The following is a 17431-nucleotide window of genomic DNA, read 5'->3' on the forward strand; positions in this document are numbered from 1 at the left end:
TTTCACCTGGTTTGAAGGATAATTCCTCCTCCTCTTCCTGGTTTTTCTAGAGGAGATAGCTCTTTTCTTATTGAGGATTACCCACCCCTGAAAAATTACCACTTTCCCGAAGTCTGTCTCTACTTTTCTCAGCATCTTCCAATTCTCACCTGGAAGATGAGGCTTTCTATTCTAACTGAGGACTACACCATGATTCAGGCAGTGACCCCTACACACACACACACACACACAAGCATGTGTGTGCCCAGTTCTACTGGAGCCTGTCCATTGTACTTGAGGCTCCCAAGCCAAACTGGATTTAGGTGCAGGCCAGCTGGGCTGGTACCCTGGATACCAGTCTGTAAAGAGAACTAAAATGCTGCTGGAAATGTAATACAGTGGAGAAAATGGTCTTTACCAGAATTGTTGAGAGCAAGCGGGACACGAGAATGATAATAATAATATTTATCAATGCACAGTGATTATAATATACACTGATAGTTTTGTTGATAAACTTTCTCCTTAGTTCAGCCAAAACCGGGCTCTTGTCACATGATCAGGAAAAGATTAGGCTTGTGGACACAGAATGGTGAGGAAAACAGAATTTATTGGGTGAAAAGGAAAAAGGAAAAGCAACTCTCAGCAAAGTGAGAGAGTCCTCCTATCAGGTTTCCCGCCTCACACGTTGAATCCCAGGTCACCACATAGCAACGGGAGAGGCCAGGCTCCTCCCCACTGAACTTCCTGAGGCTCCACCCCATTCTCCCAGTGCTCAGGTGGGCGTTATTCAGAAAGAATCAGTCAGGAAAGGGTGGCTTCATCCAGGAAGTGTAGTCAGGTTTTTCAGCCTTCAGGCTGTTTTAGGTTTAAATATGGAGTTTTGCTGGGGACCCTTGGCTGCCTCCTGTCTCCACTGGTTTTGTGCCAGAAGCTTCTCTAACAACTTTGTATATGAATTCATATAAACACTTCTGGCCCATTGAGGTAGATGCTATTATCAGTCCCCATTTTACAGATAAGGAGAATCAGTCCAGAAAAGTTAAGGAACTTGCCAGAGTCACACCAGTAATAAATAGGCTGCTGGACTCTCCTAGGACTTTGTATTGTCTCCTGGTAGGGGGAAAACCCCCAAGAGCACTTAAGTGACAAGAGCTGGTATCTCAGTGACCTTCCAGGCCTCTTAGTTGCTGGGTGAGGTATGCAAGTTTAGGGCAGCAGTTGAACTACTCAGGTTAATAGAGTGAGCAGTGCTGAGCTGGCAGTCTGCCTGCCCTCCTCCCACGCAGCACTCAGCCTATCCTCCAAATGAATGTTGGGCAAATATTTAGAGAATATCGTTTTGAAAGGGGGCCAGGTTATTAGCCTGCCCAGGGCGCCTACGCATCTTGGCCCAGCCTTGCTCCCAAGCCTGGCCTGCTGTCTGTGCTCCTAATATGTGAAACAACTCACATAGCATGGAGGATTAATCTGCTTTTGGGGGAGAAATGCAATCTGGTGTTTCTCAGGACTAAACTTCTGTGGATTGGATGCCACATGCCCGGTGCCAGAGGGTCCGCCAATGGTGCTCGTGGCCACGTCACCTCCCCCACAATCCCACGTGCTTCTCAAGTCTGGAAAGCACAGGGTACACTCCCGGGAAGAGAAAATAAAGCAAGTGAGATTTTAAAAGATGAATAAGATGGAGGTAAGAATCCGTTTGAAGAGATGCTAATGCAAAAAGGGATGCTAGTTCAGAGACATGCAAATCAAAACTACAACGAGGCACCACCTAACAGCAGTCAGAATGGCTGTTGTTAAAAAGACAAAAAATAACAGATGCTAGCAAGGCTGCGGAGAAAAGGGAACACTTGTACACTGTAGGTGGGAATGTAAGTTAGTTTGTCCACTGTGGAAAGCAGTTTGGAGATTTCTCCAAGAACTAAAAACAGAACTAGGATTTGTTCCAGCAATCCCATTACTGGGTATATATGCAAAGGAAAATAAATTGTTCTACAAAAAAGACATAAGCACTCATATGTTCATTACAGTACTATTCACAATAGCAACGACATGGCATCAACTTAGGTGTTTGTCAGTGGTGAACTGGATAAAGAAAATGTGGTACATATATACCATGGAATACTACATAGCTATAAATAATAAAATCTATCCTTTGCAGCAATATGGATGCAGCTGGAGGCCATCATCCGAAGCAAATTAACTCAGGAACAGAAAACCAATACCACATGTTCTCACTTGTAAGTGGGAGCAAAACACTGGATTCATATGGACATAAAGATGGAAATGATAGACACCAGGGGCTACCGGAGCAGGAAGAGATTAATGGGGAAAGGTCTGAAAGACTACCTTTTGTGTACTGTGCTCACTACCTGGGTGATGGGATCATTCGTAACAAACCTGTACATGTACACCCTGAAGTTGAAATTATATATTTTTAAAAAGGATGCTATAACTTTTGTGAAAGTTAGGCTGGAAGATGGGGGTATTTGTAGGGAAAAGGGACAGGATTTAAGCCTAAATCTTTACAGTTTAGAAGAGAGGCCACTGACAAAAAGTACACTGAATAACGCAGTCAATGCAGCCATTCAAATTATGTTTCTGTTAAGTTCAGAAAAACCTGGAAAAATATTGAGGCTCCTAGGACAAATGGAAAAAGAAACAAGACACATTATATAAACAAAATCAGTACCGCTATTAACAAATTTTAAAGAATACATGGAGAAAAGGCTAGAAGGAAACAAACCAAAATTATTCAAACAGTGGAGGATTTTTTTTTTTCCTTTACTTTTCTGTCCTGGTTAACGTTTCTATGATAAACTTACTTTTTAAATCAATAAGGGCAAAATCTGAATTTTAAAAAATCTATATTGAAAGCCCTTTCATAAAAGACAAAAGCAACTGTCTTTCCTTCCATGGCTTTCAGATTGAAAAAATACACGTAGGAAACTAGTAAGAGGTGATTCAATGACTGGGATTATTTTCTTTGGATTCTCTCTCAGGTTTTACTGAAGTAGTTAGAAAGCCCTTCCTGGGCAGATTCAGCAATAATAAACTACATTAATTTCATTTCCAGAAAAAACTTAAGATGTCAAATTTAGCTAAGGGGGATCATAATAGCCCCAAATTATAAACAACAAAATGTTCAACGTGCTGAGGTTTGTTAGGTAAAATGTGGACCAAATAAGATGAGGTATTATGCTGCCATTAAAAATTTTATTGGGATTGTACATTAAATGGAAAAGAAATATGTTCGTGATATGGTGTGAAATGACGAGTTATAACATGGGAAGCATACTTTAATCCTGTCTTTTAGAATTACATTTTTATATGTATATGTATGCACAATCTAAAATGATATACACCAAAATATTAATAACTATCTTGGGGTGGTGGAATGATCAGGAACGTTTGTTTCATATTTTTTGCTCCCCTATGTTTTCTGATTTTCTACGATGAACAAATATCTGTATGGAGTAATTATAAGAAGCTTATTTGTTTCCCCTCTTAAAAGTGTCTTCCTCCCATGTTAGCCAGCCTGTGGTGTTAATGCTTCCCTCTGGGGATGTGGGCCACGACCAGTTAGGAGAGGGGTGCACGGCACACAAGGGGAACCACAACATACCGAGGGCCTGTTAACAGCTGCTGGCTGCTTCGTCAATACTATCTCATCTATTCCTTCTGTCCATCAAGCAAGATGGATATTATCATCCTCATTTTGCAGATGAGAAAACAGACCCAGAGAGGTCAAGTAGCTTGGTGTGGTCAAAGTCATCTAATTAGAAAGTGGCAGAGCCATGATTTAGTCCAAATCTACCTGCCTCAAACATTCATCTACTTTTTACTCTATCACACTACTTCTCATGACACCTCTAGAGAAGAAATATTTATAAAGTGGTGTCATAGCACATGTCTTCCCTCATTCCCCACCCTGGTCCCTAACTTCAGTGCCCCCTATACTCCCTGACTCAACAGTGCATATTTAGATGTCCCAATGCCCTGTTCTTCAGGCCCAGCCCACCCAGTACCCACATACCCAGACCAGAAGCTGCTGTCCTCAATTGGGGGTTATCACACCACTATCCCTGATAGGAAACTTTGGTCGTGGTGCCTCAGCATTGACCACTGAGTCCCCTGAGTTGTTTCCTTAATCACATCTCACATCCTCCACAGAAGATGTCCCTTCTTATCCCAAGGCCCAGTTTCTAAGACTAGCCTCTCCTGCTCACTCTGCTCCAAGCCCATGTTCATGGGACTAGTTTCCTGCTGTGGATGCTATTCCAAGTTCCTGTTCTAATTATCTGACTTCTCCTTGATTCTCATGTGGGAACTGGAGCCCTGACCTGGCCACTAGTCCTGACCTCTGTGTCTGGGGCTCTGCTTCCTGAAGACAAATGTCCCAGATGCCACTTACGTGGACTTTGGAATCGTATTCTCCTAGATGTCTCACTGCCATGGCCCACCCACGTGTTAGAACGCTTGCAACTTCCTCTGGGACCTTGATGCTGTTCAGGTTCATCTCTTGAGGCTTGTGTCTCTTGAACCAGAAAGTGTGAGGAGGTGACGTATCAGGGGAGATAATCCAGATCAGAGTTGAGGAGGGGAGTCAAGATTAGATTTAGGGAAGAAGGGTTGTATGTTCAGATCTGAAAAAGAAAAGCCCATAAATAGGCTGAGGGAAGAGTAGGCACCCTCAGAGTAAAGATGGGTCATGATGTAGGTTTCAAAATGGGTATGGCATGTGATTTAGGACTAAGACTGCATTCAATGAAAAGTTTTAGAAGCCTAGAAAAATCATTCTATTAGCTTAAAATGCCCCTGATATTTGAAAAGGCATATTCATGACCAGATACCCAACCAGTTGCTTTAACAATAGACTGACAAGTATTGGGGAAATCAAACCTTGTCTACCTGTCTAAACTTGGTGGATATCTGGGTTGTCTCACCTGGCTGGATGGGAACCAGTCACAGATTAAGATTTCTCCGTCTCTTGCAAGGAGTCAAGCAGCTGCCTTATCAGCAAATCTCTCCCAAAGTGACTTTAAACTTAAACTTAACCCAAGAAGGTTTATTTAAACCTATATATAAAATAGAAATGTTATCATTGGAATGTTGTAATTAGGTCCTTTAAAAATATTAAGCTGGGTGTGGTGGCATATACCTATCATCCAAGCTACTCAGGAGGCTGAAGCGAGAGGATTACTTGAACCCAGGAGTTCACAGCCAGCCTGGGCAACATAGTAAGATCCTATTTAAAAAAAGAAAAATGTATAACCTCTTCATCTAAAGTAATACATCATCATTGTTGAAAATTTAGAAAACACAAAAATTATACAAAGGAAATAAAAATCACCCATAATACTATTACTAGACACAACCACTCCATTGTAATATGTTTTAATTTTCTGTCTTAGGTAAAAAGAAATCACAGATTGAAATGAATGACTGCCATTTAGTTGGTAGCTAACACGGTAGGATTCTGAGACCCACTCTAGATGACGAGTGTGGAGACGTTTGGGATTGCCAGGAGGTTTGAGAGCAGGTTCTGATAGTGCAAGGCTTTTCAGAAGAAGCTGATATTTTCTGAGAAGCAAACAATGTTTGGAGGATTCTCTGGATCGAGAGAAATAACTCCTTCTGTTCAATGTTTAATTACCATCTGGCAACTGAGGTTGTGGATAAACAACCGTATTTACCTGAGGTAGCTTCTATGGATTGGAGAACATTCTTCTTTGTTTCACTTCTGGGCCAAGGGTCTTAGTCTTATGTCCCCCTGGGATCTTGGTCAGAGTTCACCTGGAGAGAGCATGGACTTTGGCTTCAGACAACCCTGGGTCTGAATCCAGACAGATCACTCTGAGCTCCAGTTCCTCATCTGTAAAATCTTCTGTTCCTATCAAAGGTCCAGTGATATGACCATGCTAGGTACCTGGCAGATAATAAATGTTAACTCGATATGAGTGCCTTTTGGCTTTCCCAGTGTAGTCACCCAGAACCTTCCCAAGGATTTTAAAGATTTAGGATTAAAAATTCCTGCCAAAGTTCTCTGCGACCATCAGCAAACAGGGTCCTCACTGGACTCACTATTCTGCAAGTCCAAGAAAATCACATTGTTTGGAAACCTACCCTCACGTCAACAAAGCTGCAGAAGAGAGTCTAAGAACCTGTTAAGAAAATATGAAGCAAAAGTACTATTCACTTTTACCAAGTACTTATGTGTATGTTGGAGTGGAGTGGGGTCTTTTGTTGTGGGTTGGTCCAGTGTATGTGGTTTCATGGGACTAGGATTGGCTAGAGAGAAATTTCCTGCCTATCATAAAGGATATGGCACTATTAGGAGGGACTGTAGCATAGGGGAAAGAGCATGGACATTATGGCCAAGTAGGGCTGACCTCAAGCCCTAGCTCTGCCATTCTGGGACTTTGGACAGGTTGTTGAACCCATCTGCATTACAGTAGTTTCCTAAGGGGTGGGTTTAATAATGCTTATTTTTCAGTGTTTGAGGGAATGGAAATAATATATGTAAAGGTCTTCATCAAGAGAAAGTGCTGAAAAATGCTATTATTATTATCAAGGCTATTAATAACCATCTAGGGAAACAAAGTCCAAATTCAGAAGGAAGTCCAGGGAATTATCTAATTAAAGGAGCTGAGACACATATTGTGGCCAAGTCATATAGCCAGGAACCTCACAACAAAAGGGAGGAGGCAAGTACACTTAGTTCTTTTTTTTTTTTTTTTTTTTTAAGACAGGGTCTCACTCTGTCACCCAGACTGGAGTGCAGTGGCACAATCACAGTTCACTGTAGCCTCAACTTCCTGAGTTTAAGCAATCCTTCTACCTCAGCCTCCCAAGTAGCTGAGACCACAAGTGTGCACCATCACAGCTGGCTAATTTTTTATTTTTTTATAGAGATGGGGCCTCACTACGTTACCCAGGCTGATCTCGAACTCCTAAGCTCAAGCAATCCTCTTGCCTTGGCCTCCCAAAGTGCTGGGGTTACAGGCATGAGCCACCATGCCCAGCCTACTACACTTCATTCTTACAGTGCACACTTATTAGTACCAGCTACCTTGCAAAGTGGTGATGAAATGATGACTATTTTTAAAAAGGCTTTGGAAATAGGAATTGACCAGGGCCTTGGCAGGAGAAGACACCTGACCAGTGTACAAAGTGCAGGAAGCAAGGAGGGAGATGGCACAATGTGAGGCTAGAGGCAGGGAGGCAGGAACTAGCCTCTGTGTAGGATTTCAGTCTTGATTCTGAAAGCAATGAAAAGCTGTTGAAATACTCTGAGGAAGGAGATAATTATATTGTAATGATATTTGTGTTTTTAAAAGGCCTGTGGCTTGCAGTATAGATAACAAATTGGAGAAAGACGAGAGAGTATATAAAGACAGTTAGAATGATGTTACATTAGTTCAGAGAAGAAATGATGTAGCTTAGTCCAGGGTAATAGTAAGAATGGTGGTAGACATTCAGGAGATATTTGGAAGGTAAGATGGACAACATTTAAATATGGAGGATGAAGGCAAGGAAGAGCCAAGGGTGACCTCCAGGGTTTCCGACTTGCACAATTGGAGTAGGACCAGGTTAGAGGAAAGACGGTTAATGGTTAGGTTAGTTATTAACAGGGTATATTTGAGGTGTTTCTGATATATCAAAAGGTAAATGCAAGTAAAAGATAGAAAGTTGGAGATACATGCCTGGAACTCAGAGAAGCAGCCAACACTAGAAATATAAACGAATGAATCATCTATACAGAGGTAGTAATTAAAGCCATGAGTTGAATGAGATCACCTACAGATAAAGAATCAAGTCAGAACAGGAGAGGGTTTACGACTGAACCTTGAGCAAGTTCAAATTTAAAGGCCAGTAGTGGAAGATGAGTAGCCAAAGAAAGTGGAGAGAGTGGATGGGGGAAGTTGGGGGAGGGCACCAAGAAGGAGCTATGGCACAGAAGGCAAGGGAGGAGAGTCAGTTGAGAAGAAGGATGACATAGGATCCATTGGATTAAGCATTGCAGAAGCTTAGCTAGAGTTATTTTGGTAGTGCAATGTGGCCTGAAAATACACAGAACTGGGTTGATGAATAAGTGGGAGGTGAAGGGAAGACAGTAAGTATAGCTACCTTATTCAAGTAATTTCATTGTGATGAAGAGAGAGAGAAGACCGTAACTGGAGGGGGATGAAGAGTTAAGTAAGGTCTCAGCTTTTTTTTTAATTTTATTATTATTATACTTTAAGTTTTAGGGTACATGTGCACAATGTGCAGGTTTGTTACATATGTATACATATGCCATGTTGGTGTGCTGCACCCATTAACTCGTCTCAGCTTTTTAATGGGAGAGATTTGAATGTGCTTAAAAGACAATGACAACAATTCAGTTGGAGCACAAGTTGAATCCAGAGAAGAGTAAGGAGATAATTGTTAGAGTTGGGAAGAAGGGATGGGACCAAGACAGTGTGGTATTAGTAAAAAAATAGTCTAACAGAGCAATGGAGTATAATAAAAAGCCCAGAAATAGACCCACACAAATATAGTCAACTGATCTTTGACAAAGGAGCAAAGGTAATATAATAGAGCAAAGATAGTCTTTTCAACAAATGGTGCTGAAACAACTGCATATCCACATGTAGAAAAAAAAAAAGAATCTAGACATAGACCTTACACCCCTCACAAAAATTAACTCAAAATGGATTACAGACCTAAGTGTAAAATGCAGAACTATAAAACTCCTAGAAGACAACACAGAAGAAAACCTAGATGACATTGGATATGGCAGTGATTTTTTAAGTACAACACCAAAAGCATTATCCATGAAAGAAATAATTGATAAGTTGGACTTCATTAAAATTTAAAACTTTTGCTGTGTGAAAGACACTGTCAAGAGAATGAGAAGACAAGCCACAGATTTGAAGAAAGTATTTGCAAAAGACATATCTGATAAAGAACTGCTATCCAAAATATGCAAAAAACTCTTAAAACTCAACATTAAGGGCCAGGCGCGGTGGGTCTTAATTCCAGCACTTTGGGAGGCCAAGGCAGGCGGATCACTTGAGGTCAGGAGTTCGAGACCAGCCTGGCCAACATGATGAAACCCTGTCTCTACTAAAAATACAAAAATTAGCTGGGTGTAGTGGCACACACCTGTAATCCCAGCTGCTTGGGAGGCTGAGGCAGGAGAATCACTTGAACCCGGGAGGTAGGGGTTGCAGTGAGCCGAGATCGTGCCACTGCACTCCAGCCTGGGTGACAGAGTGGGACTCTGTCTCAAAAAATAAATAAATAACGACTGGGCGTGGCAGCTCATGCCTTTAATCCTAGCACTTTGGGAGGCCAAGGTGGGCGGACCACTTGAGGTCAGGAGTTCAAAACCAGCCTGGCCAACATGGTGAAACCCCATCTCTACTAAAAATACAAAAAAGTTTAGTCAGACGTGGTGGTGGGCACCTGTAATCCTAGCTACTTGGAAGGCTGAGGCAGGAAAATTGCCTGAACGTGGGAGGCAGAGGTTATAGTGAGCTGAGATGGCACCACTGCACTCCAGCCTGGGCAATAGAATGAGACTCCATCTCAAAAAAACAAAACAAAACAAAACAAACAACTCAACATTAAGAAAGTGAACAACCCAAATAAAAAATGGTAAAAGACCCAAACAGAAACCTCACCAAAGAAAATATACAGATGGCAAGTAAGCAAATAAAAATATGTTCAACATCATACGTCATTAGGGTGTTACAAATTAAAACAATAATGAGATACCACTATACATCTATTAGAATGACCAAAATCCAACACAATGACAACATCAAATCCTGTGGAGGATGTGGAACAACAGGAACTCTAATTGTTGCTGGTGGAAATGCAAAATGGTAAAGCTGCTTTGGAAGACAGTTTGGCAGTTAAATCTAAATATACTATTGCCATATGATCCAGCAATTGTGCTCTTTGGTATTTACCCAAATGAACTAAAAATTTTATGTCCACCCAAAAACCTGCACATGGACGTTTATAGCAGCTTTATTCATAATTGCCAAAACTCAGAAGTAACCAAGATATCCTTCCGTAAGTGAGTGGATAAACTGTGGTACTTTCAGACAATCAGATGTCATTCAGTGCTAAAAAAGAAATGAGCTATTAAGTCATGAAAATACAGAGAGGAAACTTAAATGCATATTACTAAGTGAAAGAAGCCAATCTGGAAAAGCTACATACTGTATGATTCCAATTCTATGACATTCAGGAAAAGGCAAAACTGTGGAGATAGAAAAGATTAGTGGTTGGGAAGAACAAGGGATGAATAAGAAGAGCACAGAGGATTTCTGGGCCAGTGAAACTATTTCATATGATACTACAATGGTGGATACATCTCATTATACATTTGTCAAAACCCATAAGATGTATAATACCAGGAGAGCAGCATAATGTAAACTGTGGACTTTGCAGGATAATGATATGTTAATATAGGCTCATTGATTGTAACAAATGTATCATTCTGATATAGGATGTTGATAGTGAGGGAGACTGTGTGTGTGTATGTGTGTGTAGGGGTGAAGGGACAGGGAATATGTGGGATAACCCTGTACTTTCCACTCAGTTTTGCTGTGAACCTAAAAGTGCTCTAAGAAAATAAAATTTATTAATGTTTTTTTAAAAAATGAAGTTGGATCCCTACTCTATCATATTAAAAAATAAACTCCAAATGGATTGAAGACCTAAATGTGAAAGGGAAAATTATAAAGCTAATGAAAGAAAATATTGGAGAATATCTATATGATCTCAGTTTCTTTAGGCAAGATCATAAAAGTGCAAGCCATAGGAGATAAGTTGATGAATTTGACTAGAAGAAAGTTATTTCTGCTAAATGAAGAATTCCAAAGGTAAGACTAACCTCTGGGTGCCAGAAAGGAAAAGATATTTGTAGATGTTGAGGTATTCATGTCTAGAAAATCCCCCAAAACAGCAAGAAAAAGACAATAGAATCCACTGGCAAAGATTTTGAATAGACAATTTGCAGAAAGGCAAACCTGATAAATTTGTGAAGATGATCAAATGTAGTAACATTAAAATAAGATACTACATTATAAGCATCAGATTGGAAACAGTTAGAAAATCCAGTAATAACAAGTACTGGTGAGGATATGGAGGAAATTAGGAACACTAGTACATGGCTGATAGAATAAAAGGTATAGCTATTCTGCAGTACTTAGTGAAATTAATATGACTATACCCACAACTTAGCAATCCTACTACATTATCAATCTTGCTGAGAAACTCTGATCACAAGTACAGCAGCATGAGGTTCTTCATTACATCAATATTTGTGGAGACAAGGAACTGGAAGTCAACTAAGTGCCCCTCACTGGAAGAATGGTTACATAAAATGTGATCTATGCATGCAATGGAATACTAGGCAACAGTCATAAACAAATTACATTTACATGTAGTAACAATGATATAGCTCAAAAGTGTAAAGTTGAATGAAAGAACCATTAAAACACAAAACAATTCTAAATAACACACACACACTCAGAACAACACAAATACTTAGGAGTGAATGCTAAGTAGAGGAGGAAAAATGGAAGTAGGATAAAAAGTATAAAGATAAAAAGTAATAGAAAATGGTCTTTGCTTTGTCCAGTGATAAAATTATATGATAAACTATGGAGTTTGAGGTACTTCATTCCTTTTGTCTGTTGTCCTAAAAAGAAAAGGAATTTTTAAAAGTAAAATAAATACAATATAGGTATAATAATTTAATAAGATTGTGTTTTGAAGATTAAGTCAGATAAAGCACTTAACTTAGTGCCTAGAACATATTAAACACTCAATGAATGTTATCTAGTAATGCTATCAACACTATTCATGATACAGCTACTACCAATCTATTGGAGTTGGCACTTAAAACCAATTGGATTTAGATTACTTTCTCCCAAAAGATCCTTTCAGGTCTAATATACTATAGTTCTGCAAGAGGGATAGGGAAATACCACAGGAGGCCCAGAAGCAACAGGCAGGAGAAGAGATGGAACATCCTTGGGGAATGGGAAAGGCTACCATCTTGTTTGTAGCATCATAGGAAACTTTGATGGTTAATTTGGGAGAATACTGATTAGTAAATACAATGCACAGATTAAGGAAGTAGGAACTGCGCTAGTAAAAAGTGCTATGAAGCTGGGATACTTTATATACTTTGCTATACTTCCTCCAAAAGGGTGTTTTAACATTTTAAGTTATAAAATTGTAGCTGAGTTATGAAGTTTTGCTATGCAGTGTTTGATTTGGATTACCCCTCCCCCATCCTCCTTCTTCCCCAAAGTGGGACACAGGTCGTTCTATTGAAATAAGCAAGATCATCACCTAGTGGTTAATTCCTCAAAGTGCTGACACAAGATTTGGTCCCAGAGAGCAAAGATGTGCCCAGTCTGCGTCCTCATACAATGTTAATTCATTCAACAAGCGTTGACTGGGACTTTATGCCAAGCACTATTCTGGTGCCTGGGGATACAGAGTTGCTAACATAAAATGATAAGTTTAAAAATAAAGTTAAGGAAGTACCAACTTAGAAGCTTAAGCGCCCTCTCAAAATGATGTTGCATGTATTTATTTCCCACTGGTTTTCCGTAGATCATAGACGAAGAAGAAACTCAGTTTATGAGCAATTGCCCTGTTGCAGTCACTGAAAGCACTCCACGGAGGAGGACCCGGATCCAGGTGTTTTGGATAGCACCACCAGCGGGAACAGGCTGCGTGATTCTGAAGTAAGTAAACATGGAATCCTTCCCTGCAGTTTATCAAAGACTTTGTGGTGTGATTGCAGGGAAAAAAAAAAAAGTTCTTTACTGAGCATCAGAAAGTTGCATCATCTCTCTGCCCTCCCTTATCTGAATTCTCAATAGCACCATAGACTATCATTGGTGAAGTGTTCCATAAAGATTCATTTGCTAGAATCTCTATTTTCATCAAATAGGATGATTCTCCTGGCCACCCTGTCCTACCAGAGATAATTATATTAGGGCTGGTTAAGAAAAATTACAAACCAGGTGAAGATAATCTTTGACTTTTTCCACCTGGAATTTAACACTTTTTCTTTTCTCGGAACATACAGCACCTAGAATCCTTAAACACTGCTTAGGCTGCCCCGAGACCCACATGTGACCTCCATTAGCCCTGAGCTCCACTTTATGATGCTATCTTCTTCTTTGCCCATCAAAATGGCCCTCTGGTGCCACTTCCTATCTGGCCTCCTGACCTCCTTTCAGTGAGTTATAATAGGTGATAAAAGGTATTAACCAGCCAAAGGAGTTTTCCTCTGGAAGGTAGCATTATCTCAAACCTGTTTCTCCAAACTTATGTGCCACAGAATGATGGTTTGGGAAATGGAAATAGATGGGCAGGAAAATGATTTCTGTGGTCAAATGTTTGCAAAATGCTGTGTACTAGATACCCTTCTTACAGATTCATAATACTAGCATAATGAAGGTTTTGCAAAGTCCTGGCGAAAAAAAAAAATCTGTTTAATTTGGTTTCACCCAGTATTTATGGTGACATCTATTAACATTCACAGTTTGGTGAAACATAGGCATAATCTATTTTAAATAGGTTTGAAGTCCTATATGGAATGATGCTGAGAATGTTAGGATTTCATACCAGCAAATTAGTCATGGGTAGATGGAGAGGGTTCCAGTCCTAGCATCCAAGAAGTCACTTTTTTTTAATGGAAGTAGGCACTGAGACCTTCCCAACAGCCTTTCTCTTTTTTAAATCCTCGAAGGTCTTATTTATGTATTTGGTTCATTTGTCAAATATAGTCATTTTGACAGACTTAACAACTGTGGTTAACTCCAGCCCACCCCTGAGGAGATCCCGATAAGAAAGCCCACCTAGGCATCGCAATACCTGCAGTTCTTAGACTTCCACTGTGCTTGGCTTATGGAAAAAACCCCACAGAATCTCTGAAGCATCTGTCCATTGTCCAGACTCACCCGTCATTGTCTGGCCTCCCTTTGCCGCCATCTGTCTGGACATTATTTGTTTCTTTCTTAGTTTAATGCAAGCTGAGCATCCTTCCTCAGATTCCTTGAGCAGTTTGGCTCTTGGCATTAATCTACACTGGTCATTAAGAAAAAATCAGAATTTTAAAAGATGAAATCATATCTATAAATGTCAATATATAACATGTCTATAGTATCTAGTTAAAATGTGGGAGATGGCCTTGTGGAAATGAACAAAGACCCCTGAAATGAGAACAGAGACTGTGTGTTCAGAGCCTGTTGTATAACAAGGGAGTCAGCTGCCATTACTAGCATTTGGCAGAGTCTCAAAGACAGGCAGAGGACTGGGAAAGCCTTCTAGTGAAAACAAGAGAAGACTGATTGGAGGTTCCTTGGCATGAGGAAGCTGGAGGCAGGCTAACTACAAGTGGAGCATCTTATGTGATTGGTTTGGAGGGCATATTTGGCTTCCTCTGGTTAGTTCTGAGTTGAAAGTTGGGGAGGTGGTGAGGGCAAAAAATAGAGCAGTTGACAGTTCCTTGGACAAATGCTGATTTTCTGTGTCAATTGCTGGGGCCCAGAGACTAGGGGTCAGAGTACTATGGTCACTGTGATAAATAACCTTGCTATTGTCTGTTAGTATTTTCACTCTTAGCCCAGAGACTGGGTTCCCAGCTTGGCCCTCAGTGCCCATCCCACTACCCATGACAGCCCAATGGCTCCACAGAGCCTGGAGCTCTAAAGAAGATGGGCTGAAAATGTCAGATCTATGTGAGGAGCCTTCCTGCTCTAAAAGCTCTCATCCCTCTGGCCCAGATCTCTGGTTTTCTTTGATTTATTGTTCTTACAACCCAGAAGCATTAGATCTTTTTGGTGGAAGCCAGAAAGGCATCTCTTGTTTACCCATTAACAATCAACGTTATGTGTACATATGTTTATCCATTAACATGTATGGCTTATTCATTTGCTCATTCTTCCAACAAATGCAACTGAGCTTCTATTAGCCCAGGCATCCAGGATATACACAATGGAGGTATATTCTTGACCCTGGAGGTTCTTACAAGTCAAATAAGGGAGAGAGAAAAAGTCAACCAATGCTTTCTGTGTACCAAGAACTCAGCACACATCTAGCAGGCTTTGTCTAATTTGATCTTCACAGAAAACGACTCCCATTTTACAGAGGAGGAGACAGGCCCTGGGGATATTAGGCAAGTTTTTTAAAGTCATGAATCCATGTAATATTAAAGTCCATGTTCTGCCTTTCTTTTATTTATTTTTTCTCTGAAGGAATCATATATAAGCTACAACTATTTATTAAATAAATAGTAATTGTATGGGCAGGACATAAATGCATTCACCTCGTAAAATTTCAAACAATACAAAAAGTAGTAAAATACAGAAAAATACAGAATAAAGAAAAAGTTAAAGATCCATGACATCTTGGCTGGACACAGTGGCTCATGCCTATAATCCCAGCACTTTGGGAGGCTGAGGCAAGCAGATCACTTGAGGTAAGGAGTTCAAGACCAGCCTGGTCAACATGGCAAAACCCTGTCTTTACTAAAAATACAAACATTAGCTGGGCGTGGTGGTGCGCACCTGTAGTCCCAGATACTCGGGAGGCTGAGGCAGGAGAATAACTTGAATCTGAGGGGTGGCAGTTGCAGTGAGCCGAGACTGTGCCACCGCACTCCAGCCTGGGTGACAGAGTGAAACCCCATCTCAAATAAATAAACAAACAAATAAAATCCATAGCATCTCTCTCAATTCCAGTTTTCTACACAAAGGCAATAATAGAATCAATTTGGTTTGTATGCTTTAGACTTATCTCTGCTTTTACATTCACGAAGGTAATCATAAAAGCACATAGTTTCATTCCTGTGGGAATTTAAGGTTACACAAATGGTATCATGTTATGTCCTGAACTTGAATGGTTTTTCACTAAATAAGATGTATTAGAGATATGTCTGGGTCAGTACATACAAAGCTACCTCTTTTTGTTTTTTAACTGCTGCATGTCTATGGTATGGATGTTAATTATTCCAAAGTTAGTGGACATTTAGATTGTTTCTGGTGTCTTACTATGACAAATAATGTTATGATGAATATCCTGAAACTTGCCTATTGAGCAAATTTCCAAGTTTTTATCCACAGTAGATGCCAAGAAATGGGATCATAAGGGATGCACATTTATAATTTTATTAGATGCTGCCAGATTTTTCTCCAGAAAGCTTGCCAACTTAAACACTCTCCCTGACTGTGAACAAGAGAGCCTAAATCTTTACTTGCTCAATGGCACTTGGTATTATCAATCTTTAAGATTCATAAAGATTGTGTGAATGGCCCATTCATATTCTTGTCCATTTTTTAATAATCTGTCTTTTAAAAATTGATTTACACGGCCGGGCGTGGTGGCTCTTGCTTGTAATCCCAGCACTTTGGGAGGCCGAGCCGAGAGGGGGGCAGATCGCCTGAGGTCGGGAGTTCGAGACCAGCCTGGCCAACATGGTGAAACCCCCGTCTCTTCTAAAAATACAAAAATTAGCCAGGTATGGTGGCATGCGCCTGTAATCCCAGCTACTCAGGAGGCCGAGGCAGGAGAATCACTTGAACCCAGGAGATGGAGGTTGCAGTTAGCTGAGATCCTGCCACTGCCATTCAGTCTGGGGGACAGAGTGAGACTCCATCTAAAAAATAATAATAAAAATTTAATTATATATTTAATTTTGTTTTAATATATATATTATATTTAAAATATAGCTTATAAAATGTTTTTATAAATATATGTAAATACATCTTATATATTTACATACATATAAAATAATTTGATTTATTTAGAACATATTTATGTTTAAAATTGCTCTTTAGGTAGTCCAGATAATGACACTTTGTTGTAAATTTCAAATATTTCTCTCCACCTTTCTTTTAACTTTGCTTGTGGGTGTCTAATCAGTCAAAAGTTTGAAATTTTTATGTAATCAAATGTATCCATCCTTTCCTTTATGAATTTTGATTTTATGTCTTGTTCAAAAATAATTTTCCTATGCCTAAGGCTATAAATATATTCCCATATTTTATAGATTTTAAAATAAATGTAGGTCTTTAATCTTCCTGGAATTTAATGTTGTGAATGATATGATATTAATAAGCTACCACAGAAAATAGATGGCATGCTCAAAATGAGGTGCCAGAGGAAAGTTTAATAAGGGTCTATTCACAATGGTGGGGGCAAAATAACAGTGAAGGAGGGCTATACAAGGAGGGCCTGAAGAAGCAAAAGGAAAAGGCAGAGAGGATGGGGTAGAGAGGACCACCCCTTTACAGGAGCTAAGACCTTCGGTTAAGGGAAGCAACTAGCCTCAGGTACCCCAACCCTACTCCTTTCTCTAATTCCTTGTGGACTCTCCCTTTGGTGTGGCTCCAACTACAGGAACACAGAGCCCATTGATATAATCTTT

General features: G+C 40.0%; 1 protein-coding gene across 1 annotated transcript in view; it reads left to right on the forward strand.

Annotated features, from left to right (window-relative positions):
• The window catches only part of SPON1 (spondin 1), a 305411-nt gene that overhangs the window by 66192 nt on the left and 221788 nt on the right, over positions 1-17431 (forward strand). The window contains exon 3 of the mRNA NM_006108.4: positions 12607-12740. Within this exon, the coding sequence (NP_006099.2) occupies positions 12607-12740 (134 nt within the window). The remainder of the gene's footprint in view (positions 1-12606; positions 12741-17431) is intronic.

Source organism: Homo sapiens, chromosome 11, assembly GCF_000001405.40.
Source record: "Homo sapiens chromosome 11, GRCh38.p14 Primary Assembly".
NCBI lineage: Eukaryota > Metazoa > Chordata > Mammalia > Primates > Hominidae > Homo > Homo sapiens.